The sequence below is a fragment of the Homo sapiens genome, chromosome 17 (genome assembly GCF_000001405.40).
Source record: "Homo sapiens chromosome 17, GRCh38.p14 Primary Assembly".
Lineage (NCBI taxonomy): Eukaryota > Metazoa > Chordata > Mammalia > Primates > Hominidae > Homo > Homo sapiens.
The window spans coordinates 13,018,030-13,042,986 of NC_000017.11; the positions used below are offsets into that span (position 1 = coordinate 13,018,030).

Here is a 24,957-nt window from a genome sequence, read left to right on the forward strand (position 1 = left end):
CGGATCCAGCCAATCAGCGCGCCGTGCACCGAGCTTCCCGCCTACGCGAGGCTGCTCATCCAATAGAAAGGAGCTTTACCGCTCGGGACTTGTCAATTGACAGTGGCCATAGAGTAGAGGAATACTAGAGCGTCTCAAGCGGCCCCGCCCCTAGTTCTGTTCCGGTTTGCCGGCCGCAATTTTTTCCGGAAGCTGTTTTTCTCCTGGGGCGGGACTTCCGGAAGCACAGTGCCAGGAAAAGCCTTCCTGGGGAAGGCGGGACCTAGGAGTTTGGAGTTTCGCTAAAACGCTCCTGTTCTCACCAGATAAGAGCTGTGTCCTCCGGGCACGTCAGTCCCTCAGAGCTTGAGTTAGAGGTGGTTGTAGTGGTTGTGAGGATTAAATGTGAGGAAATCAATTGTATTGAGCATTAGCATAAGCGCTTTGCTAATTTTATTTCCATTGTAATTCGTATGCATACATGTTAGAACTTGATCATTTTTACGTGGTGTCCCGAGCTTGTAGTCCCAGCTACTTGGGAGGCTGAGGCAGGAGAATCGCTTAAGCGCGGAGGCGGAGGTTGCGGTGAGTCGAAATCGCGCCACTGCACTCCAGCCTGGGTGACACCTCGAGACCCTGTCTCAAAACAAAACAAAACAAAACAAAAATTGTAGTGTTTTTTGGAAAGAAAAGCAAGAATAGAGGACAAGCTCTAAAGCAAGAGTCTTGGCTCATTTGTTAGCTGCGTGATCTTGACCTCTCAGAGCCTCAGCTTTCTTATGTGTAAAATGTAATAACAGCAATAACAGTATCTCCTACTTCAGAATATAGAATTCAGTCACCTGATAATATATCAATAGACCTTTGAGTGGCACTGTCACAGAAGAGGCACCCAGTAAATGATAGAAAATTAATACAAAATGTTTCAACTCCTAGACAATATAGCTGACCAGGGACATCACAGAGGTAGATGTCCCAATACCAGCTTTTTGAAAAAAACACCCAGTCCCCTCTTATGTAGCTAATGAGGATTTCTCACTGAAAGGGATATCAGTTAAAGCCGCTAGAAATACAGGGAGCTCCCTTAAAAGAGGAAGATAATTTACCTGGAAGCTCCACTCAAATATGATTTTTTAAAGATAATTTACCTGGAAGCTCCACTGACATATGATTTTTTTAAATAAATACTGAAAGATGTCACTTTTATTCAGGAAGTAAGGGAGATTCAAGTCATGTAGATTCCTACTCGAAAATCTTGACACCTGACTTTCCAGGATCACATTTTCATATGGAGACCAGTTTCCTCTTGGTTTCTTCAGTTAAGTCAAAACTACACGTTCCTCTTTCCCCATATATTTTTGCTCATTAGTGTATTTCTTGAGCTGTTTTCATTCAAATATGAAATTTTTTATGGAAGATTATCACCCACGGTGTGAAAACGTTTTGTACTTGAAATAACCATCCCAGTGAGGGTCAGGAAAACACTTCAGATCTACTTTACACAGTTAGAGGGCGTTACAAACTGAAAAGATTATCATACCACCATCTCCATAAGTATTTGAAATAAAAATGATAGTTTTTAAAAGTTGCTTAAAGCCTGGGCACCGTGGCACATATCTGTAATCCCAGCACTTTGGGAGGCCAAGGCGGGAGAATAGCTTCAGGCTAGTAGTTCAAAACCTGCTCTGTGGCCAGGCATGGTGGCTTATGCCTGTAATCCCAGCACTTTGGGAGGCCGAGGCAGGTGGATCACCTGAGGTCAGGAGTTCGAGACCAGCCTGGCCAACATGATGAAACCCCGTCTCTACTAAAAACACAAAAATTAGCCGGGAGTGGTTGCATGGGCCTGTAATCCCAGCTACTGGGGAGGTTGAGGCAGGAGAATCACTTGAACCCCAGAGACAGAGGTTGCAGTGAGCCAAGATCACACCATTGCACTCCAGCCTGGGTGACAGAGGGAGATTCCATCTCAAAAACAAACAAACAAACCAGCTCTGGCAACAAAGCGAGACCTCATCTCTACCAAAAAATACTAAAAAATTTAAAAATAAGTAAAAATTAGCTGGACATGGTGGCACACACCTGTTGTCCCAGCTACTCTGAAGGCTGAGACAGGAGGATCACATGAACCCAGGGGTTTGAGGCTGCAGTGAGCTATGATCATACCACTTTACTCCAGCCTGGCTGACAGAGTGAGACACTCTCTACAAAAAAAAAAAAAAAAAAAAAAGAAAAAGAAAATTAATTCATTAAAACTACTTTTAAAAAGTGTAGTGCAATAAATAAAATACTGATTTTTTTCCTGTGATGACTGCTTTGATCCTTTTAAAAAATATATCAAATTTCACAAACAAAAATACATTGGTTCCTCTATTTTATTGGTGCCCTATGTGCATATCTATCTGTTGGGTAATCTCAAACTACTTATCTCAAAATTATAGGAGGAATCACTTTTGGTCATCGACTTATATAAAATTCTGAGGGCTGGATGCTATTTAGGTTGTTTCTAGGGCCCAGTGTACTTTCTGCACTTATGCTTTGGGTCATATTTTTATTCCTGGTATATGAAGACAATAGCTAGTACTTCTTCAATCTGAGGTTATACTGGAATGTAAATTTCATGAGCCTGGGATTTGTCTATCTGGTCCTCTGCTGTATCATTAGCTCCTAGGACAGAGTCTGGCTTGTGGCAGACAATAAATACTAGGAAATTAGAAGCAAGCCAGTAGCTTAAATGAGGTTTTCAGTTTACAACTAAGCAGGGCCTAAAATTGAATCAAGACAACAATGTATGTGTTTTCTGAAGGGGATTGGTGTGACTGGTACCTCCAAAAGGATAGTTCAGAGAGTCTGAAACAGAAAAGTGTCTCTGGACTTGCTGGAGTAGAGGCAGCCTGACCATCGGGACAGCAGAGAAAGTGGAAATCGAGGCGACAGACTTTCAGAAGTCAGTGATATTAACAATTAATATAATACAGCCACTTCCTCTTGCTTTGAGTCTCTTTTTGTTATCCATTTTGTATATGGGCAGCTTGTGGCTTGAAATCACTTTCAGTCCTTTTGTTGGTCACGGTTGTGTTTAGTAAGAATAGCCTGTCTCTGCTCCTTGCAGTGGCTGCTGGGTGGCTCAATGGGAGTGGAACCTCACACTCACAGGTGTGGGTCCTGGGTACTGGCCCTGCTGGGGGTGCTTTGGTTCATTTCCCATTGCCTCTCCATCCATGTAGACTGTCCACATTCAGTAGTTAGGCTGAGCTTCTCTGAATGGTGGTCAGCCTCCAAAAGGATGAAATGAAATTGCAATGCTTCTGAAGAATTAGGCCCAGAAGTCAACGCAAGACACAGACAGCACCCACCTAGATTCAAAGGGAGGAAAATTATATTCTACCTCTTGAGGGGAGAAGTATCAAAGTCACATTGCAAAAGAGCCCTTGACGTGGAAAAGTCCAGGCTTTCTTGGAACCCTCTGATTATCCTACGGGGGGGTCCTATGAAGAGATGGCTGCCAGGCAGAATAATCTGGCCAATGAATGCTGGGAGCAGTACATTTTCATATGCCTGTAGTTACAAAGGTATAATTTATAACTTGACTTTCTTCTGTACACGCTTGTAAGTATGGTTGCCATAAGCTAGTCCACTCATATGTGGCCATCTCTTGGGTATATTTATAAATCAGACTTTTGTACCTACAAAGCTGGGGCAGTTCCTGCGATCCCCAAGATCTGGTGATCTGACCAAGGGACACATACTTTGGGACCCTGTCTGAAATACCCTCTGGCTTTCTCCACACAGACATTCATTCATTGATTCATTCAGTACACTCACACACACACACACACGAGTTTCTAGACACTCTTCTAGGGTTCTAGATGCTGTACTAAGACCTTGGTGTACAGAAAGATGAACAAGGTCTTGCTCTCAGAAAGCTCAGAAAGTTGGTGTCTTGGGCACAGGGATGGGGCCCCAGGGCACACAGGAAAACATTATAATAGATGCTTTTGTCTTCATTGGGTCTGAGGTGTTTCTGGTTTAGAGCCCTAGAAACCCAACAACTCCAAACTTGATGGCCACAATGCATCAGAGGGATAATTGGTTTTTGAAACAAAAGTTACTTTGGGCTGGGCACGATGGCTCACAACTGTAATCCCAGCACTTTGGGAGGCCCAGGCGGGTGGATGACTTGAGGTCAGGAGTTTGAGACCAGCCTGGCCAACATGGCGAAACCCCGTCTCCACTAAAAATACAAAAATTAGCTAGGCGTGGTGGTGGGCACCCGTAACCCCAGCTGCTCAGGAGGCTAAGGCAGGAGAATCACTTGAACCCGGGAGGCGGAGGTTGCAGTGAGCCAAGATCGTGCCATTGCACTCCAGCCTGGGCAACAGAGCGAGACTCAGTCTCAAAAAAAAAAAAAAAGTCTGCAGTCACGTACAGCAATGTCCTAGACCTTCACATTCACTCACTGATGCACCCCAGGCAACTTACAATCCTGCAAGTTCCATTCATGGTAAGTGCCTTATTCAGGTGCTAATTTCTTTCTTTCTCTCTTTCTTTCTTTCTTTCTTTCTTTCTTTCTTTCTTTCTTTCTTTCTTTCTTTCTTTCTTTCTTTCTGTCTCTCTCTCTCTCTCTCTCTCTCTCTCTCTCTCTTTCTTTCTTTCTTTTTTGAGATGGAGTTTCACTCTTGTTGCCCAGGCTGGAGTGCAATGGCACGATCTCGGCTCACCACAACCTCCACCTCCTGGGTTCAAGCAATTCACCTGCCTCAGCCTCCCGAGTAGCTGGGATTACAGGCATGCACCATCACACCCGGCTGTTTTTTTTGTATTTTTAGTAGAGATGGGGTTTCTCCGTGTTGGTCAGGCTAGCCTTGAACTCCCGACCTCAAGAGATCCACCCACCTCAGCCTCCCAAAGTGCTGGGATCACAGGTGTGAGCCACAGCGCCCAGGTCAGGTGCTGATTTTTTATACCACATTTTCACTGTGTCTTTTCCATGTTTAGATAGATTTAGACACAAATACTTGCCATTGTGTTGCAATTGCCTGCAGTATTTAGTACAGTCACATGCAGCCTGGTTTGTAGCCTAGGCGCAGTAGGTTGTACCATACAGCACAGGTGTGCAGTAGGCTGTACCATGTAGGTTTGTGTTTGTGCCCTCTGTGATGTTTGCGCAATGACAAATTTCCCTAACAAGGCATTTCCCAGAACGTATCCTTGCCATTAAATGATGCATAACTGTACACCGGGAACCAGAAAGAAAGAAGAAAGGAAAGTAGCTCAGCCTGGCTCAGGCTTGGAGCGGTTGCAGCTCTGCCATAATTAATGCCACCCAAGCTTTATTACCTTTAGATCCTCAGGGCCAAGCACGGTGCCCGGGAATTCGTGGAGCTCAGCGAGTCTGTGCTGAGGGCATGGAGCATCTGCCCAGCCCGAGTCGCCCCAGGTTGCCATCCCAAAATACCACAGACTGAGTGGCTTCCCCAAGACTTCAATTTTCTCAGTTCTGGAGGTTGAAAGTCTAAGATCAAAGTGTGGGCAGGGCTGGTCTCTCCTGAGGCCTCTCTCCTTGGCTTGCAAATGGCCTTCCTCTTGCGGTACCTTAATGTGGTCTTTCCTGTGTGCTCACATGCCCTGGTGTGTCTCGTGTGTCCTAATCTCCTCTTCTTATAGGGACACCGGTGAGCTTGGATTAGGATCTACCCTAACAGCCTCGTTTAATTAATCACCTCCTTAAAGGCCCTATCTCCAAATGTAGTGACATCCTGAGGTACTGGGGGTTACGGCTTCAACAAGTGAGTTTTGACCAGCCTGGCCAACATGGTGAAACCCCGTCTCTACTAAAAATTCAAAAATTAGGCGTGGTGGCGGGTGCCTGTAATCCCAGCTACTGGGGAGGCTGAGGCAGGAGAATTGCTTGAACTCGGGAGGTGGAGGTTGCAGTGAGCTGGGATCACGCCACTGCACTCCAGCCTGAGCGACAGAGCGAGACTCCGTCTAAAAAAAAAAAAAAAAAAAAAAGAATGGTGTCAGAGAAGGCTTCTCACAGAACATATGGCACGATTAGGATTTTGAAAAAATTGAGAGATTTCCAGGATGGCAAGATGAGGAAGGGTATTCTATCCAGAGCGGGCAGCATGGAGACAGGAAAGGTAGGAGTGTGCCAAGAAGCGATAGGATACACAGCAGTTCACTGAGGGTTCACTTCATCATAGGCACACTTTCCACACACGTGTCCAGATCACCTGCTCCTCCTAGCGCTCTTGTGAGGTGTAGCCTATTACTATTCTCATTGTACAGATGGGAAACTGAAGCTGAAAGGGCTTAATTTGCAGAAGATTACAAAATTAAGTAATGCAACTAGCATGCACACCCTAGCTGCTTAGTTCCTGAGTTCACGTTCCTCCCAAGCCACTATTTCGCCTCAAACAGTTGCTATTACTGTAGGATACATTCAGGATGAAGTAGGATGAAGGAGGGTCGGCGAGGAGGCTGGCAGTCGGCGAAAGTCACAACATGAAGGGCCTTGGAGGTTTCCTTTTATCCTTTCATCCTGCAGCCCTGCCTCCAGTTCTCCCGGGTCAGAGGAGGGGGCGCAGAATCAGGTCCTAGAGGAGTGCGATGCGCGCCCTTGGTCACTAGAGGGCGCAGAAGCGCAGGCCCTGGGGAAGGCGGAGCCAGGAGGAGGGATCTCAGATCCCTGCGAGTTTGTTGATTTATTCTCAGGGATCTGAGAATTCTAGAATTCTTCAGTTTAGCACTTTCCACTGAAGGTATTCTAAAATCATGCACACAATCACTGCAGGGCTGAGGAGGACCCTTAAATAACTAGGAATGCCCCTCGAGTCGGTGTCCACATTTGCATTCCTGGTTATGGCGCTAATGGTGCCAGATGATCCCAAAAGGACCAGAGTTTACTGTTTAATTCTTCACTCAAACTGGAGCTCAGAGATACGTTCTCAGGGGCCTCAACGTGTGTGTGCGCGCCTGTGTGTATGTGTTATGTGTGTATGTGTGCGTGTGTGTGTGTGTGTTGTGTGTATATGCGTGTCTGTGTGTGTGTATGTGTGTGGGGTGTGTGTTTCTGTATGTGTTGTGTGTGTCTGTGTGTGTGTGTCTGTGTATGTGTGTGTATGTGTGTGTGTGTATGTGTTGGTTGTGCATGTGTGTGATTGCGTGTACATGTGTATATATGTTTGTATGTGTATGTGTGTGTATGTATGTGTCTGTGTGTGTGTGAGCATGTGTGTGTGTGTGTGTGAGTGTGTGTACGTGTGTGTCTTTCATTTAATTGGGTTCTTTATGTTACTTGCATTTGAGCAATGCTGGTGCAGGATCCTGTGCTCCCTGGAGGTATCCCAGGAGGTGAGCCTAGGTGTGTCAAGGTGTCCCGTGTGGAGACAGTAATAACCCGGGGTGTCAGGAGCTGTCCAGGGAGAAGGGTGAGGGTGGTGCGGCTGGCTTCTGTGGAGACGGTGTGGTGCAGTCAGGGGTTCATGGACTTTGGGGTGCTGAACCTGACCCAGAGTAGCCAGGTAACCTTGGGCAAATGTCTTAGCCACTCTGCACCTTGCTCTCCAGGATTGCCATGAGGATGAAAGGAGGTAGCAGAGGGAAGGAATAGGCATCTCTCCCTCCTTCTCCTTTCCCCCATCCTCTCCCTCTCTTTCCAGCCCCCTCTCTCCCTCAACCTCATTCCCTCCCTCTCTCCTCTCTCCTTTCTCTGTCTCCCTTCCTTCCTCCCCCTCTCTTCTTTCTCCCTCATTCTTCCTCTTTCTTCTCTCTCTTCCCTTTTCTCTCTTCCCCTCCCTTTCTCTCCTTCCTGTTCTTTCTTTCCTTCTCTCTCTCCCTCCCTTGCTCCCTCTCTTCCCTCTCTCTTTCCTTTTCACTCTCTCCTTCCCTTTCTCTTCCTCCCTTCCTCTTTTTCCTTTCTCTTTCTCTCCCTCTCCTTTTTTTCTTCCTCACTCTCCCTCCCCTTTTCTGTCTCCCCATCCCTTTCTCCCATTTTCTCCTTCTCTTTGCCCCTTCCTTCCTTTCTTTCTCTCCCTCTCTCTCTCTTTCTTTCTTTTTCTCTCTCTCTCTCTTTCTTTCTCTCTCTCTCTTTCTCTCTTTCTCTCTTTCTTTCTTTCTCTCTCTTTCTTTCTTTCTTTCTTTCTTTCTTTCTTTCTTTCTTTCTTTCTTTCTTTCTTTCTTTCTTTCTTTCTTTCTTTCGAGACAGGGTCTCGCTCTGTCGTCCAGGCTGGAGTGCAGTGGCGAGATCTCGATTCACTACAACCTCCGCCTCCCAAGTTCAAGCGATCCTCCCACCTCAGCCTCCCAATTAGCTGGGACTACAGGCTTGCACCACCACGCCCAGCTAATTTTTGTATTTTTAGTAGAGATGAGGTTTTGCCACGTTGGCCAGGCTGGTTTCAAACTCCTTGGCTCAAGTGTTCTGCCAACCTCGGCCTCCCAAAGTGCTGGGATTACAGGCGTGATCCACCATGCCTGGCCCCTTTCTCTCTTTCCCCCTCTTTCTCTTTCCCTTGCTCCCTCGTCTCCCATTTTTCTTTCTCCCCCTCCTCTTTCTCTCTCTTTTCTTCTCTTCTCTCTCCCCCTTCCCTCTCTGTCTCTCTCAGTCTCCCCAGGTTCAGAATGCTTTCCCATTTCTTTTTCTGGCAGTTAACGCACCAAATTGTCATCATTTACTTGTTATATGTCTTTCTAGACTGTTATATGTCTTTCTAGGCTTCAATAGGGGAAGTGACAAGGAGTTTGTATATCATTCTAAGGGAACAGGAAGCCCCCAGAGGGTATATGAGTGGACAGTGGAATTGATCAGGTTTTCATTTTCAGAGGCTGGCTCTTGCCGCTGTGTGGAGAGGAGGGGGGGAGGACCCAGGGGCACAGTGGGCCTGTAGGGGCGGGCTTGTAACCTGGACTGAGGTGGGAATGGCAGAGATGAAGAGAAGTGGACAGATCAGGACCTGGTTTTACACGGAACCCTCAGAGCCTGCTGACGGATGACGGGTGTAGTCAGGGGTAAACAATATTCAGGAATCAAGGAGAGCTCCAAGGTTTTGACCTGGCCAAGCGGGTTGATGAAGTTGCCTTCGTGGGGATAGTAAAAGACAGATGGGGAGCAGATTTGGGTAAAAAGCAAGAGTTCTGTCTTCCACATGTCATATTTGGATTGCCAATTGTAGGTAGATCCAGCATGTGCTCTGTTCCACCCCTGACTCTGGAGTTCTAGGAGAATTTAGGACTGGGGACATAAAATTGTGGTTCATTGACATTCGGATGTTGTATAAAGCCAAGCGACTAGCTGAGATCCCCTGGGGAGAGTCATCTCATATAGTGAAGAAGACATGTCCCAGGCCCAGCCCGGAGACTGTGGCATTCCCAATATTGAAACTTAAGCAGAAGAGTTGGAGCCTGGAAAAGGAGGCCAAGGAGGAGCCACCAGTGAGTCATTGGAAAACCAGTAGCACGTGGAGTCTCAACAAGAAGAAATGAAAGCATTTAAACAGAGTGAAAATTCTGGCAAACGCTGCTGAGAAGTCAGATTTCATACAAACACAGGTGGGCAAATCACCCCCACTCTGCATGCTCAGCTACCAGTCATGGCACCCTTCTCCACACCCATCCCCACTTCAGACAGCACCTCAGCATCCTTCTCAACACAGTCTTATTTTTTCTTATTTTATTTTATTTTTGAGATGGAGTCTTGCTCTGTTGCCCAGACTGGAATCCAGTGGCGTGATCTTGGCTTACTGCCCCCTCCACCTCCCAGGTTAAAGCCATTCTCCTGCCTCAGCCTCCCAAGTAGCTGGGATGGCAGGCGGCCCCCACCACGCCTGACTAATTTTTGTAGTTTTAGTAAAGATAGGGTTTCGCCATGTTGGCCAGGCTGGTCTTGAATTCCTGACCTCAGGTGATCTGCCTGCCTTGGCCTCCCAAAATGCTGGGATTACAGATGTGATCCACTGCACCCAGCCCATTTATTTATTTCTAATTTTTGCCATAGGCGGTGGGGGAAGAAATCAACATGGTGTTTCTGGAAACCACTACTCATGGATTGAAGATGGCAGGTAAATGAAATGTATTTGCCATTCTTCATATAATCTTATTTCCCAGCTATCTAGATGAAGACATTGCGTCCCAGAGAGATAGTTACCTTGGCAATACTTCACCACTAGACATCCAGTATTCACCTTTCAGTCTAGCAGTGTAGTGATAGGGTCATGAGGAAAGACATATTTGTGTGGATTCTATGACTTTTTTGTGGCATCCTTGTGTTGTTAGTCAGGGTTATCCACAGAAACAGGATGTGAAGATGAAACGATAGATACATAGATAAATAGATGATAGATAGATATAAATATACCTAGAAACATAGATGATAGATAGATAAATATAAATCTTTTATTATTTATTTATTTATTTGCTGCTTATTCAGTTTTTGAGATGGAGTCTTGCTGTGTTGCCCAGGCTGGAGTGCAAAGGCACGATCTCGGCTCACTGCAATGGCATGATCTCAGCTCACTGCAACCTCCGCCTCCTGGGTTCTGGCTATTCTCCTGCCTCAGCCTCCTGAGTAGCTAGGACTACAGACACATGCCACCACACCCGGCTAATTTTTGTATTTTTAGTAGAGATGCGGTTTCACCGTGTTGGCCAGGCTGGTCTTGAACTCCTGATCTCAGGTGATCCACCTGCTTCAGCCTCTCAAAGTGCTGGGATTACAGGCATGAGCCACTGTGCCCGGCCAGATAGATATAAATCTTTTAATAATTATTTTAAGGAATTGGCTACAGTGATTGTAGAGACAGACAAGTTCAAAATCTGCAGGGTAGGCTGGCAGGCTGGAGACTCGGTGAAGAGTTGCTATTCAAGGCTGAGGACAGCCTGCCGTCAGCATTCCTTTTTTCTTTGGGAAAGTCAGTCTTTTCTTGAAGGCCTTCAGCTGATTGGATGGGGCCCATCCACACTACAGTGAGTCCTCTGCTTTACCCAAAGTCCACTGATTTAAATGTTAATGTCACCTAACAGATCTCTCACAGAAACATCTAGAGTAATGTTTGACCAAATACCTGGCTACCATGAGCTAGCCAAGTTGACACACAAAATGAACCATAACACATTGGTTGACCTTAGTTACTTCTAAGAAACTGAGTTAAAAGTGGTCTCGTCTGATGTCGGAAGGAGGGGTAGGGGTGGAAAGAACAAGAGTGGTGGATGCTGGCTGTCCGTTGCTGAGGAAGCGTACCTCCGCCTGCCATGGTGAACTTGGCTTTGGTGATTTTTAAGGCACTGGAAAACTGAGTACCCTCATAAAAGCAGTAACAGCTGCAATTTACTGAGCACTTACTGTGTGCCAGGCATCCTGCTAGGTGCTTTTCATGGTTTATCTTGTTTGGAATTACTCTGGCTCCATCTGGCAGACACCATGCACAGCTTTCCCTGCCTGGGGTCAGCTACCTCCTCAGGCCTCTAACTCAGGAAGTTGGCTGGACACAAGGCCCATGTCTCTGGGACCCACCAATCTTTCCGATCCCTGCTCCACAGATTGGGAAATGTTTTTCAAGAGAGATAACGAGCAGGAGTTTCTCTTCTCCTTCCTTAGCTTGAAGCTTTTGTCCTCTCCATGTCCCCAGGGGCTTAGGCTTTTGAAACCAAATCCTGGAAGACTTCTTTGTTCTCAGCTCTCTCTTCTGCCTAATTCCTCCAGAGAGTGGGCCTAGCTCTTTGGTGAGGGAAGGGCACAGGGGGACTTTTCCTGGAAGAAAAAGTTGGTTAATATTTTTAAAGACATTACCCCACCTCATTGGTGACAATCGATCATGTCAGCGCATCTCCTTTTCCTGGCCATGTATTTTACTTTTCTTTTCCCTTCCGTCACTGCTTCCCTGCGCCTCTATAATGTCATAAAGGAAGGGAGACGAGCTCAAAGCTTTGAATATACCTGACCATTACTGACTCAAGACAATGCTACAGGCTCCTGTTTTATAAGAGAAAAAGAATTCATGGAAGCTTTTCTGGAATACGGCTTTATGTTCATATTCTACCCACTCCTCTCTCTCTCTCCTCATAACTAAAGGGAGCTGGTAGCAACCACCCTGCTTTGCAGCTCAGCTGGTAGAATGCCTGGAGAGCAGCCAGTGGCCTGGGTTCAATCTCCTGATAAGTCATCAATTTCTTTCTCACCCAAAACATCTGGTTTGGGATCCTGAGTTATGAGCTAATATTAAATATAAAAGTTTATAGCATCACATATATAATGCTGTTGATTAGAAACATCAAGAAAAGTAATTGACTGGAAGGGACTTGGTGTGACCAGCTGCTTGAACATCTGGATGGTATCCAAGGGGCCTGAATTGAATTCCCAATTCATCCATTCGTTCTTGGCCAGCAGTATCTGGTTTGGGATCTTTAAAGATTTGACTCTCCTCCTTGGCTATGGCTTTTTCTCAATGTTTTATACATAAGCGTGTGAGTGTGTGTTTCAGTTAACTGAAAAAAGCTAAAATAAAATCAATGTAGTTTTTATCTTCTCTTGCATCTGTTCATTAGACATTTATGGTTTTTATGATTTCCCGAGCCTCATCGTGTTACCAACAATGAACACTAGGGGGCAGTGTACACTCATGTTTTTCCTCCATGGGCTAAGATGTGTGAAGAGTGCCCCAATCCACCTCTCCATCTGGTTTGCAGTTGAGATGCCCAAGAGCGGGAAGGGTTCCTACCAGCATGGGGCTTTGTTCTCAGAAAGCTTCTCTAAGATACGTTACTTAGATACATCCGTAAAATCCCTCAGTCAACTGCACCCCTGTGGCCTATAGCCTGAAGTTAACCAAGTCTTTTCGTGACAGCCTATGTTCTGTTTGCTGAATAGCTGCCTCTCCTTCCTTTCTCTTTTCTGTTGGGTTTGGTTCCTGCCAGAACAACACGGATTTGCCCATCTCCCCTGACACACTCCGGTCCAAGGTTTAAGCAGGGCAGTCATTTCCTTACTGGAATCCCTTCCCAAACAGCTTCTTCCCAGGCTATCAGGCAGAAAGTATTTTGCATCTCCTGTGCCAACTCAGACTGAGGTAGCTGCTTGGAGTATTGTTTTGAGAAGGCCTCAGGGTCCAGGCTCAAGAGCAAGAATGCTATGCTCGATTGGCAATGTCTTCCTCCCTTCCCTTCCCTCCTTCCTTCCTTCTGTTCCTACCCCACTCCTTCCCTCCCTTCTCCCCTCCACTCCTTCCTCCTTCCTTTCTTTTTTCCTTTTTTCTTTTCTTTCTTATTGAATTCCGTTGAAGAGCCAGGTACTGGGCTAAACATTTCAATAGTGGACAAGATCATCTTGGTTTCTGCCCTCACAGAATTTACAAACCAATGGGAGAGACAGTAAAAAAACTGGGCACGTGGTAAGCCCTATGCTAGGGAAGCAATCGCGTGGTGTGGGGCACGCAGAAGAGGTACCTCACCCAGGCTTGGGGGTGAGTGATGAAACAAGGATGCATACCATAAAACCAAGGAGGGAAGGGGCAAAGAGTCAAGAGTCAAGGGGGAAATGTTAGAGCAGAAAAATACATGCAGGCAGCTCTTGCTTTTCACTTTGCTGCTCTGAGTCAATCTTTGTCTAGAAACCACCCATATCCCTCACCTGCAGATGTCTTAAGTGGCTCTGGGCTATTGGAGTGGCAAAGTCTACGGCCTGCAGTGGCCAGGAAGGTAAGATGGGTGATCCAGAGGATCAGAGCAAGCTAAGTCTCTGTGCTCCATCTGAGGGGGTGGTGCTCCGTCTTGAGCCAGGCAACAGTGGCTCTGTAAAACGCAGGCTCAGACAGTGTCAGATCTCGGGACTGTTTTGCAATGGAGGCTGAGAACTAGATTTTATGTGAAATTTCCTGAAAATATTTACTAACACTTTATGGGCCAAAAAGCTTAGGCATGAAGGCAAATTTAGGCCCTTGGGGATCTCTGGCCTAATGGCGCCTTTGCGTCCATGTCCGCCACCTAGTGGTGGATGTGGGTTCCTTCACTCTGTTTTTCTGTAACAGCAGCCGGAACCAACTTCCTTCCTTGCTCCCTTCTTAAATTTGGCTTTTGATTTCCAAAAAAAAAAAAAAAAAAAAAAAAAAAAAAAAATTGTTATGAAACGTTTAGGGTGCCACCCTGATGGCGGTTTTCGCCTTTCTTTTCCGGAAATCAGTGAAATCGAAGTTGGGGCGGATGGGGATGATGTTGAGAAGGCTGTTTGGGACGTGGGGGGTGATGACAGTGACGGGCTTGAGCACCTGCTTTGCTGGTGTGAACTTGCAGGCTGATTCCAACCGATTGAATGAAATATGATTACCAGCTTGACCTGTCTGGAGTCCAGATCCGGAGACTCTGAGTGCTCCTTGCAACATTAAGGATATATGATTCCATCGTGAGAGTGGGCCTTCTCAGCCAGGGTCTCCAGAGCCTTAGGGCTTTTTTCTGAATGGGCTGAATTCATGGTGGTCTTTGAGCCCCCTAGAAATTGTGTGCAAAAGTGTTTGCTTGTGCATTTTTCTTGGAGAGAGCTGCTAGCCTGAGTCAGATTCTCAAAGGGCCTATAACTCAGGAAGGGGAAAGGCAAGGCTGAAAAATGGGTTTCTCAAACTGAATGAGTACCCCAATGCTTGTTAAAATGCAGATTGTGGCTGGGCTCGGTGGCTCATGCCTGTAATCCCAGCACTTTGGGAGGTCAAGGTGGGTGGATCATGACATCAGGAGTTCCAGACCAGCCTGGCCAACATGGTGAAACTTTGTCTCTACTAAAAATACAAAAATTAGCTGGGCATGGTAGCGGGTACCTGTAATCCCAGCTACTCGGGAGGCTGAGACAGGAGAATCACTTGAACCCAGGAGGCAGAGGTTGCAGTGAGCTGAGATCATGCCACTGCACTCCAGTCTGGGCGACAGAGTCCATCTAAAAAAAAAAGTGCAGATTGCTGGGTCCCACCCCCAACGTTTCCGATTCAGTAGGAGTGGAGTGGGACCCCACAAATTGCCTTTCTAGCAAGTTCCCAGGTGATTAGACCACACAGTGCGGACTCCTGGTGGCGAGTAACAGCACTTAGAGAACAGGTCTCACGCATTCTGCCCTGATGCTGGAACTCATAGTTGGGAATCTTGCTTTCAAGCACAAAGCAAAAACAAACAAACAAAAAATGCACTGTGTTTTATTTCTGGATGCTGCCTAACTCCTAATCCCATCCTTTGCTTTGTCAAAAATATTTTAAAGATTCTGGGCAACAACTCTTCCTTTTGGACCTTTGACTTAATGATTTGCTGCTTAGAAGCCAAAAGACAGTGAGCTGGCTTCTGGAGAATGGGAGGCTGAGGAGTGTGATGGCGCCGTAACAAGGATAGGCAGTATCTAAGGGCAATATAATCATATATACATTAAGAATATATCATATATTCTTAAAGTTGCAAGGAGCACTCAAGGTCTTTGGATCTGGACTCCAGAAAGTTCAAGGTGTTAATCGTATTTCATTCAGTCGATTGGAATCAGCCTGCAAGTAGCAGAGATGCTTAATGGCTGTCTCCCTCCACACTGGTGTCACTGCATTAGAATTTGCTCAGAGGAGTATCTTGGTGGTGGTTGCGTGAATTGGTTCTGAGGGACATAGCCCATGTCCCCTTAGTACCCTTGTATGATGCACCTGAAGTTTGTCTAAGGAATGACTAAGACCCCTTCCAACTCTAGGAATTTCTGAAATCTGTTAAAAAGACACATCAGAACCTTTAAATTCTATTTCCAGGTAATCTTTGTCCACCTGCCATGTCTGCTTTCCTGGAGAAAGCTCATAGCCTTCTGCTGAGAAAATCACCTTGACATAGAGAAAATCACCTTGACATAGAGAAAATCATCATCCAAGAGCAATTCAGCCCTCATTGCATGCTAGATGCCTTCCTTGCCAAGGGCACTAAATGTGCCAACAAATGTCAGTGTGCTCTGGGAGGTCTCATTTGCATAGTGTGAGGCCCCAAGAATAATGGGGATCCAGGCTTCCCATCCCTCTCTCCATGGAAGCTGGGAAGGTTCCAAGCTTCTAGCACAGCACTCGGGGTGGCCAGAGCTTTGTGGGAACCTGAGTAGGGTATTTGGCCTGCAGAGTCTGGGCCTGTGGAAGTCCTCCATCACCTGACTTCCCATCTCCATCTTCTCTGTTTCGAGCTTTCCCTGTCTGTCTGCAAAATTAAAAGGTGGATGTTTGCCTCTTGAGATTGTTGTTTGAGGAAGTGGAATAGCACACAGGAAAGGGCTTTGGGTTCCTGTGAAGTGGGCTCTGCAAAGTAGGAGAGGGTGGGTGGAATTTTCCAGATGGCAGAAATAATAGTCCTCCCAGAGGTTAGGACTTTCCAGGACTTTGGTGGTGGCCAGATGTACCTAGTAATGTGGCTGGTGGGATCCCTTTGCAGCCAGGAGCTGAGTCAGTGGGTAAAGGGTAAAGTACTCAGGGGTGGGATAAGCAAGGCGCCTCCCTAACTTGGGAAAAATGGAATTTTACGAGGGGAAATCTCTTTGATCTTTGTAACTGTTCTGCCCTCCGCTGGGTGCTGTATGTTGAGAGTGCTTGGCAGTAGGGAGTGTATTAGTCCGTTTTCATGCGCTGATAAAGACATACCTGAGACTGGAAAGAAAAAGAAGTTTAATTGGAATTACAGTTCCACATGGCTGGGGAGGCCTCAGAATCATGGCGGGAGGCAAAAGGCACATCTTACATGGTGGTGGCAAGAGAAAATGAGGAGATGCAAAGGCAGAAACCCCTGATAAAATCATCAGATCTTGTGAGACTTATTCACTACCACAATAACAGCATGGGGGAATCCGTCCCCATGCTTCAAACTATCTCCCACTGGGTTGCTTCCACAACACTTGGGAATTTTGGAAGTACAATTCAGGATGAGATTTGGGCGGGCACACAGCCCAATCACATCAGGGAGACAGGGAAGGGCTGTTTTGATCCCTGTTCTTTTTGGAAATAGAACGGGGGTTGTCTCACCACTTTGGGAGAGAACATGTGGACCAGGAAGATTCTGGTTTCACAGAATAGCGGGGAGGATGCCACTGCAGGACATTACAGGTTCACCTCCCTGTACTTTTCTGGGAGTCCCAGCATTAGATGAAAGAGAGAGGCAGAGTCATGTGGGGAAAGAGCCCTGGATGGGAGTCAAATCCTTTAGCTCTTGTCTCTGTTAGGGCAGAACCTAGGTATGATTTGGGACAAGTCTCTTCATCTATCTGAGACTGTGTTTTGGAAACTGGCCCAATTTCCTCATACAACTAATATTTATGGGTTTTTTTTTAAATAAACAGAGAAATTGACCCTCCTGTTGTTGAAATATGAAATTTCCCTTTGTCTCATTTTAGTTCCTTCCTCAAGAAACCAACCATCAAGCAAGGGACTAAAACTCATCAGATTACTGCATCCAGATAATGAGATGCCAGGCCACTTATCCATTCTGATTGCTTCCTTATTCCTCCCTAGTTCCTGTTTTCCCATCTTCCCTGCCATTTTAGTTTCCCTCCAATTTTAGTTTGTTGGAGAGACAGATTTGAGGCTGATCTCCCATTCTCCTTGCCTGCTGCTTGCGATTAAAGTCTTCTCCAGCTGGCAATACTTGTTGTCTCAGTAATTGGTTTTTTGTGCAGTGAGCAATGGGACCTAGACAGAAACCCTGGCATTCTGGTAACATTTGCAGATCCATAAAATGAGGGCATTGGATCTGATTCCTTAATAAAAATGGAAATCTAGCATTCTTGCCTTTCTCTTTAATAGGGAGGATTAGAGAATTTAGAAGTTGAAAATAGCTTTTTTTTAAAACCCTTGCTTTCAAGTTTATTGAGGTATCATTCCCGTATATGAATGCATCCACTTTAAGTGCAGTGGATGAGTTCCATCAGAGGCATATGCCTGAGTAAGCACTACCACAGTCAGGAGATAGAAGGTTTCCTCCTCTTGGGATGGTTCTCTGTGTCCCTTCCCAGGCAGTCCCCTCTCATCCCCTCCTGGTCCCAGGTGACCTCTGCCACTTCTGACTTAAACCTAACTTTTCTCTGTGCTCACTGTATTAGTGCCCCATTGCTGCTGGGGAAAAGTGCCACACAGTTAGTAGCTCAACACAAATGTATTCACTTACAGTTCTGGATGTCAAAAGACTAAAGTGGGTTGGCAGGGCTGCCTTCCTTCCAAAAACTTTAAGAGAGAATCTGTTTCCTTGACTTTTCCACCTTGTAGATGCTGCCAGCATTCCCTGGCTCATGGCCCTGCATCCCTTCAATTTGCTTCAATCACCTTTCCCTCCCTGACTCTGAATTCTCCTGCCTCCCTCTTCTAAGGACTCCTATGATTAGAGTGGGCCCACTTGGATAATCCAGGATTATCTCCTCATAGCAAGACCCTTAACTCAACCACATCTGTGGAATTCCTTTTGCCCTGTACTCGTAGGTTCTGGGGATTAGGATGTGGATACCTGTGGAAGGAAGGGAAGGGATTGTTGAACCCACCACAATTACACAGCCCAGGAAAAACATCCAAGATGACAGCCAACTTTTCCAGATCAGATTCCCCATCAGGGGGTCATGTTTATCTTCTCAGCCACATCTGCTTCTCTGCTTCAACTTCACAATACAAGGAGGTTTTCTCCCCGTTCAAATAAAAATAGGACTACCTAATATTAATTCTTCATCTCATATGTGCTAGACACTTTTCTAAGCACTTTATATACCCTTAACTCACTTAATCCTCACAGCAATTATATTAAGTAAATGCCATTTTTATTCCTGTTTTATCACTGAGAAAACTGAAACACCAGAAGCCTAAGGAAATTTCCCAGGTCATGTAGCAAATATGTTGGAGCAGGGATTCAGCTGAAGGAGGCTAATACTGGCCTCCTTCCTGTGAGTCACTGCACATATCAGACTGCCTCTCTCCATGTTTCCTTAGCCATACACTTGGGACCAGACAGTTTCCTCATTGCTTGTGAAAAAATCAGAACAGACCCAAATGTGCCACTTAGGCCTATTGATCATCCTGAGTCAAAGGCAGTTGAGAAACAGCAGGTGCTGACCTTCTTACCTAAAAACAGGGCATAAATTTCCCATGAGGAATGCCCTTAATGTACTAAGAAGAGGAGAACATTCTCATCACTGGAGATGAAGAGCAGATGGCAAGATGAATCTGTACAAAGAAATATACTAAAATAAACCTTGCTTTCTATTCGTTGCCCCCAGATATTTCCTAGTCACTTTTCCAGTTTACTGCCCCTAGCCCAAACCCTTTTTCCTTTGTCTTGACTGTTCTCCACAATTTATTGTTAAAATGGTATATAAGCTTTCATGCCTAACAATTTCTTTGGATACTCATTTTTTTTGTATATGAAGGTCTCCATGTACACACAAAAATATTAATATCAGGCTAGGTGTAGTGACTCACACCTGTAATTCCAGCACTTTGGAAGGCCAAGGTGGGCAGATCACCTGAGGTCAGGATTTTAAGACCAGCCTGGCCAACATGGCAAAACCTATCTCTACTAAAAATACAAAAAAAAAAAAAAATTAGCCAGGCGTGGTGGTGCATATCTGTAGTTCCAGCTACTTGAGAGGTTGAGGGAGAAGAATCGCTTGAACCCAGGAGGTGGAAGTTGCAGTGAGCCAAGATCACTCCACTGCACTCCAGCCTGAGCAACAGGGCAAGAGTCTGTCTCAGAAAACAACAAACAAACAACACAAAATATTAATATCAAATAAAATGTGTATGCTTTCCTCCTGATAGTCTGTGTTTTATCAACTGAATTCTCAGGCCCAACCACAGAACCTAAGAGGGTAGAAGAAAAGTTTTTCCTTCCCTAGAGTTCTCACGCATTGTATTTCCCCTCAATTTCCTCTTTGTCTCTACCTTGACTATTTTTATTATTTTTGTTTCGTTTGGTTTGGTTTGAGATGGAGTTTTGCTCTGTTGCCCAGGCTGGAGTGCAGTGGCATGATCTCGGCTCACTGCGACCTCTGCCTCCCAAGTTCAAGCGATACTCCTGCTTCAGCCTCCCGAGTAGCTGGGATTACAGGCGTGTGCCACCACACCAAACTAATTTTTGTATTTTTAGTAGAAACAGGGTTTCACCATGTTGGTCAGGCTGATCTCGAACTCCTGACCTCAGGTGATCCACCCGCCTTGGCCTCCCAAAGTACTAGGATTATAAGCGTGAGCCACTGTGCCTAGCCTACTCTGACTGTTTTTAAAATCCACATTCAAATCTTCACTTTTCCATAAATGCTTCCCAGGTCACTATTGGCTTGTTGATGAAACTGCAGACTCTTCCCTCACCCCCAGTTCACCCTGAGGAGTAGGACGATTGTGCATATGAAGGGTGAAAAGCTTGGATGGATTAGACTGGAGAGGTTGGGAGAGGAGCTCGTAAGACCATCTGCTCCCTTTCAGGTGTCATGTGGCATTGGTTTGAACTCTTTTCAGAATGAAAAGAACAACTTACGGGCTTCAGCAAAAAAGAACAGTTACTAGCTCAATGAAGTGTAAAGGCCAGAGGCAGACATGGTAGGGAATCTTCAGTGATGACTATATCTAGGCACTTGCTATAGTTTGGAAGTTGACCCTCCTAACCTCATATTGAAATTTGATCTCCAGTGTTGGAGATGGGGCCTGGTAAGAGGTGTTTGGGTCATGGGGGCATGTCCCTCATGAATGGCTTGGTGCCATCCTGGTGGTAGTGAGTGAGTTCTTGCTCAACTGGTTCTTTCAAGAGCTGGTTGATAACAAGAGACTGGCACCTCACCCTTCTCTTGGTTCCTCTCTCACCATGTGATTTCTGCACACACTGGATCCCTTTCACCTTTCAGCATAAATGGAAGCAGTCTGAGGCCCTCACCAGAAGCAGATACTGGAAACATTCTTCTTATACAGTCTGCAGAACCATGAGCCAAATAAACCTCTTTATTTTAAAATTACTCAGCCTCAGATATTCCTTTATAGCAACACCAATGTTCAAAAGATATCACCAGGAATTTGTCCCACTCTACCTCTGAGTCCCACGCTCCTCTTTGTCGGTCTAATTCTCAGATGGGCTCTACCCAGGAGGAAGCAGATGGATATTGGAAGCTCCAGGCAGATGGTCCATTATCTTAGTATCCCTGGCAGAAAGGGAAGGTCTTGTTCACAAATGTTCCAATGAAAGTCTTGGGGATGAGGTTCATTAACTTTCATTGGCTAGTTTGGATTGTATGCCCAACTCTGAACAATCCCAGAAGTAGGGGGACTTCTTATTTGCCAAGATGGTTTCCTTGCCCACCTATAGAATGAAGGGAAAGGGCCAGCCCATCCTAACCTTATAGACTGATGGCGAGAAAGAAATGGCCTCCTAAAGCAAAATAGGGATGATATTATCACCAGAAAAAATCATCTCTGGCCATCCAAAAATGACAGATGGTTCTTCATACACTCTTTTGAATCTGATAATTTTAGAAGTCTGCTGTCCTCTTTCTGTATTGGCCTTGGAAATATCTCTTGTCAAAGGACTGGGTCTACCCCTGCCTATCAGACTGTTTCTCCTCTTAATGCTGTTTTAAATTCTGTACTTACAACAAAGGAGTCACGCAGTCACACAGGCTTAATCAAACCTTGACAAAATTTGTCTTTATAGCTCATACTCATTCCAGGCCAGTAACTGGAAAGCCAGTTAACCAGAATATAGGATTGTGTTAGATCATGGTGGGCTGTACCAGATGCCCTTTTCAAGGCCCACACACCCGTTTCCTAGCTCCTAGGAATATCGTTCATAGCTGTGAGGGCTCACAGTCATGGTCATCGTTGAGAATTGTCCATGGCTACAGGGAACTGCTTTACCCTGAGATTACAAAAGCTCAGCCCTCTTACCTCAACTGCGGGCATCTCTGAAGAGTTACTCCAACTGCAGAGCTCCCTGTTGTACTGGCTGAGGCGTCAGCTGCAGCTACATTGTGGGTCAATTTTCCCCTCTGCCTATTCTTGCCTTTCCTCTTTCCTTACTGCTGTCTTTTCCACAGTGAACTTTCTATATGCAACTCATTCCAGAATCTGTTTCCAGGGAACCCAATAAGACATCTGGACTCCTCTCTTTATGGTCAGTCCACTTATTGCCCTACAAGAAATAAGTAAACTTCACCTTTTAAAGTCTCTAATTTGGGGAATAGGTTTTCTGTTGTCCTGGTCTAACCTCTGTCTTAGGTAGGCTCTGGGTGCCTGGGGTTTGGGGCATCTTCTTGGGACAATTTCACCGGAAACAACACACAGATGCAAGCATGCAACTGAATTGGCTGATTTCTTATTAGTTGGATGAATATTTTGCTGAATTTTCAAGTGATAAATGCAGAATAGACTTGGATGGAAGTGAAGTGATCACGCTTAGTGGGAGAGAGAAAAGCAGATTTGTTGTTCTGAGAGCTGTTGTCTCATGGGTGTCTCTGCTCATCACTCAAGGCTCAGTTCAATGTTACCTCTTATAAGAAGCTTTTCCTGCTCGTTAAAGGCACTTGTTGTCTGGCCTTTCTTTTTATGTTTTACATGTTTTTGTCAAGTCTTTGCACACAGACACAAATCATTACAAATACTGTATAATGTCTCCTCCAGAAAGGTGTTTTACAAACTTCTTTTAAGAAAACACATGGAACATAAGATTTATTATAGGAATTAGATCCTATACATCGTAGGAGGAGTTGGGGAATGAAGATCCAGAAAGAGGAGTTGAAGGATCGGAGAAATGTCATCCACCAGCCCTCCTGAAGCACCAGCATAGTGACGTTAAATTAAGCTTACCCTAAAGCTGTCTCCTTGCATATATTTTACATTCAGTCTCCAAGTTGCTCCCTACATAGTGAACTGGAACCTAAGCAGATGTGTAAACAGGTTGTCTCCTATTCTTGTACCAATCACCGAATTTTGGCCAATCACAGGCAGCCAACTGTTCAAACCCTGTTCAAACAAGGCAGAGGCTAAGCTGTAACTAATTTAGCTGCTTCTGTACCTCATTTCCATTTTCTGTACATCGCTTTCCTTTTTCTGTCCATAAATCCTCTCCGATCACACAGCAGCGCTGAGTCTCTGTGAACCTATTCTGGTTGGGGGAGGAAAGGGCTGCCCAATTTGCGAATCATGCTTTGCTCAATTAAACTCTGTCAATTTAATTTGTCTAAAGTTTTTTTTTTTTTAAATTTTAAACAGTGAACATGTCAGACTTTACAGGGCAGTCTTGGAGGCAGGCATGTCTAGCTGCCAGATTTTTAAATGTTTTTACCACAGTCCACAGTAAGAAACATCTTTTATATCAAGATCCGGAAGGAAGACACACAAACACATATATGAACAGTTGAGAACAAAACTTCCACAAAATAACACTAATTCCTACCTTGTCCAACTGAGGTATTATCATAAAATATGTTTTCTCTTTGTTACTGATTCTTGACACAGAACTCCTAAAACCCTTGGAATTTCCTGAGCTATAGGAGTGTCTTTTGTATGCTAACAAGATGACTCGTAGGGTGAAGTATAAGATAGCTTTAGAATAGGGGCTAGTTGTACAATTAAAGAGTTGGACTTTTCAGCTGCAATCCCCAACCTCCAAGAGAGCAGAGAAGGGCTAGAGATTGAGATCAATCACTAATGACCAGTGATTTAATCAGTTATGCCCACATAATGAAACCGCTCTATGAAACACAGAACTACAAGGTTTAGGGGAGTTCTCTGGTTGGTGAACCCATCTATGTACTGGGAGGGTGATGTACCCCAGCTCTACAGGGACAGAGGCTTCTGAGCCCTGGGTCCTTCCTGACCTGACCTTCTATCCTTCATCTGGCTCTTCATTGGTCTCCCTGATAATAAACTGGAATAGTAAGTGTAGCATTTTCCTGAGTTCTGTGACTCATTCTAGCAAATAATCATGATCCTGGTGGGCTGAGGGAGGTCACCAAATGCCAGTGGGACCTCAACTCCAGCCGCTGTCTAGATTCTTGACACTATTATGAGAAGGAATTCAAGGATGAGTTGGAAAATAGTGAAAGTATGGAGATTTATTGCAAAGCAAAAAGGACACACTCAAGAAATGAGCTTATGGGCATACCCAAAAAAGTCACATGGAAGGGACTTTGGCGTTGTTACCTTTATGGATTTCTTTAACACGAGCTGGAATATTCATGAAAGTTCCTGGAAAAAGATTTCTTGGAACCGTGGTGCCACCCAGTTTTACACCAAATATGGGTGTTCTAGGAACAGTCATGATGCTAGTGGATGTGTGTTGAGTATGTTAATGAACATATAATGAGGTCCTAGGAGAAACCTAGGTCAAAGTCAGTGCCATGTTAGGTCCAGCCTGCTTGGTCCACATCCTGTTTTTCAGGGTCTTATCAGTGCAAGTAGCCTGGAGACCCCATTTGTTGTTGGCATCTGAAGTAGGGGGTAGTCTTGTGGGGCTGAGCCTTTAAACTGTGGGGTCAGTGCTGACTCCAGGTAGTTAGTGTCGGAATCAAATTGAATGGTTGGACATCAAGTTGGGTTGGAGAATTTAAGAATTAGTTGTTGTTGGTGATGTAAAAGTGAGAAAACACTAATAGTTTCTATCCTATTCTATTTTTTTGTTCTATTATATTTGCATTTTTTACAACGCTATTTGTGACTAATTTTATAACTCTCTATTGGCCACACTATAAAAAACGCTCTGTAACATACTGGAAGCTTCTTAAGCACAGGAACATTGCAATTTGCCTTAGCATCTCCGCGCCTAACACAACATCCAAGACAGAGATGTCAGGTATTACAATTTCATCAAATACATGTGTGAATGAATGAATGAAGTTGTCTGACTTTTGGTATGATTCATACTGGTTCGGGATTCACTTTTATGAATTTACCCAGTGTATTAGTGCAATTCATACTGGTTCAGGATTCACTTTTATGAATTTATCCGGTGTATTAGTGCATTCTCACACTGCTATAA

General features: G+C 45.1%; 1 annotated feature.

Moving 5' to 3' along the window:
* Positions 36–115: a silencer, noted in NCBI's record as "silent region_8207". NCBI's record gives its function as "represses an Ori minimal core promoter by ATAC-STARR-seq in GM12878 lymphoblastoid cells {active_cell/tissue: GM12878}" and the evidence as "EXISTENCE:reporter gene assay evidence [ECO:0000049][PMID:35858748]".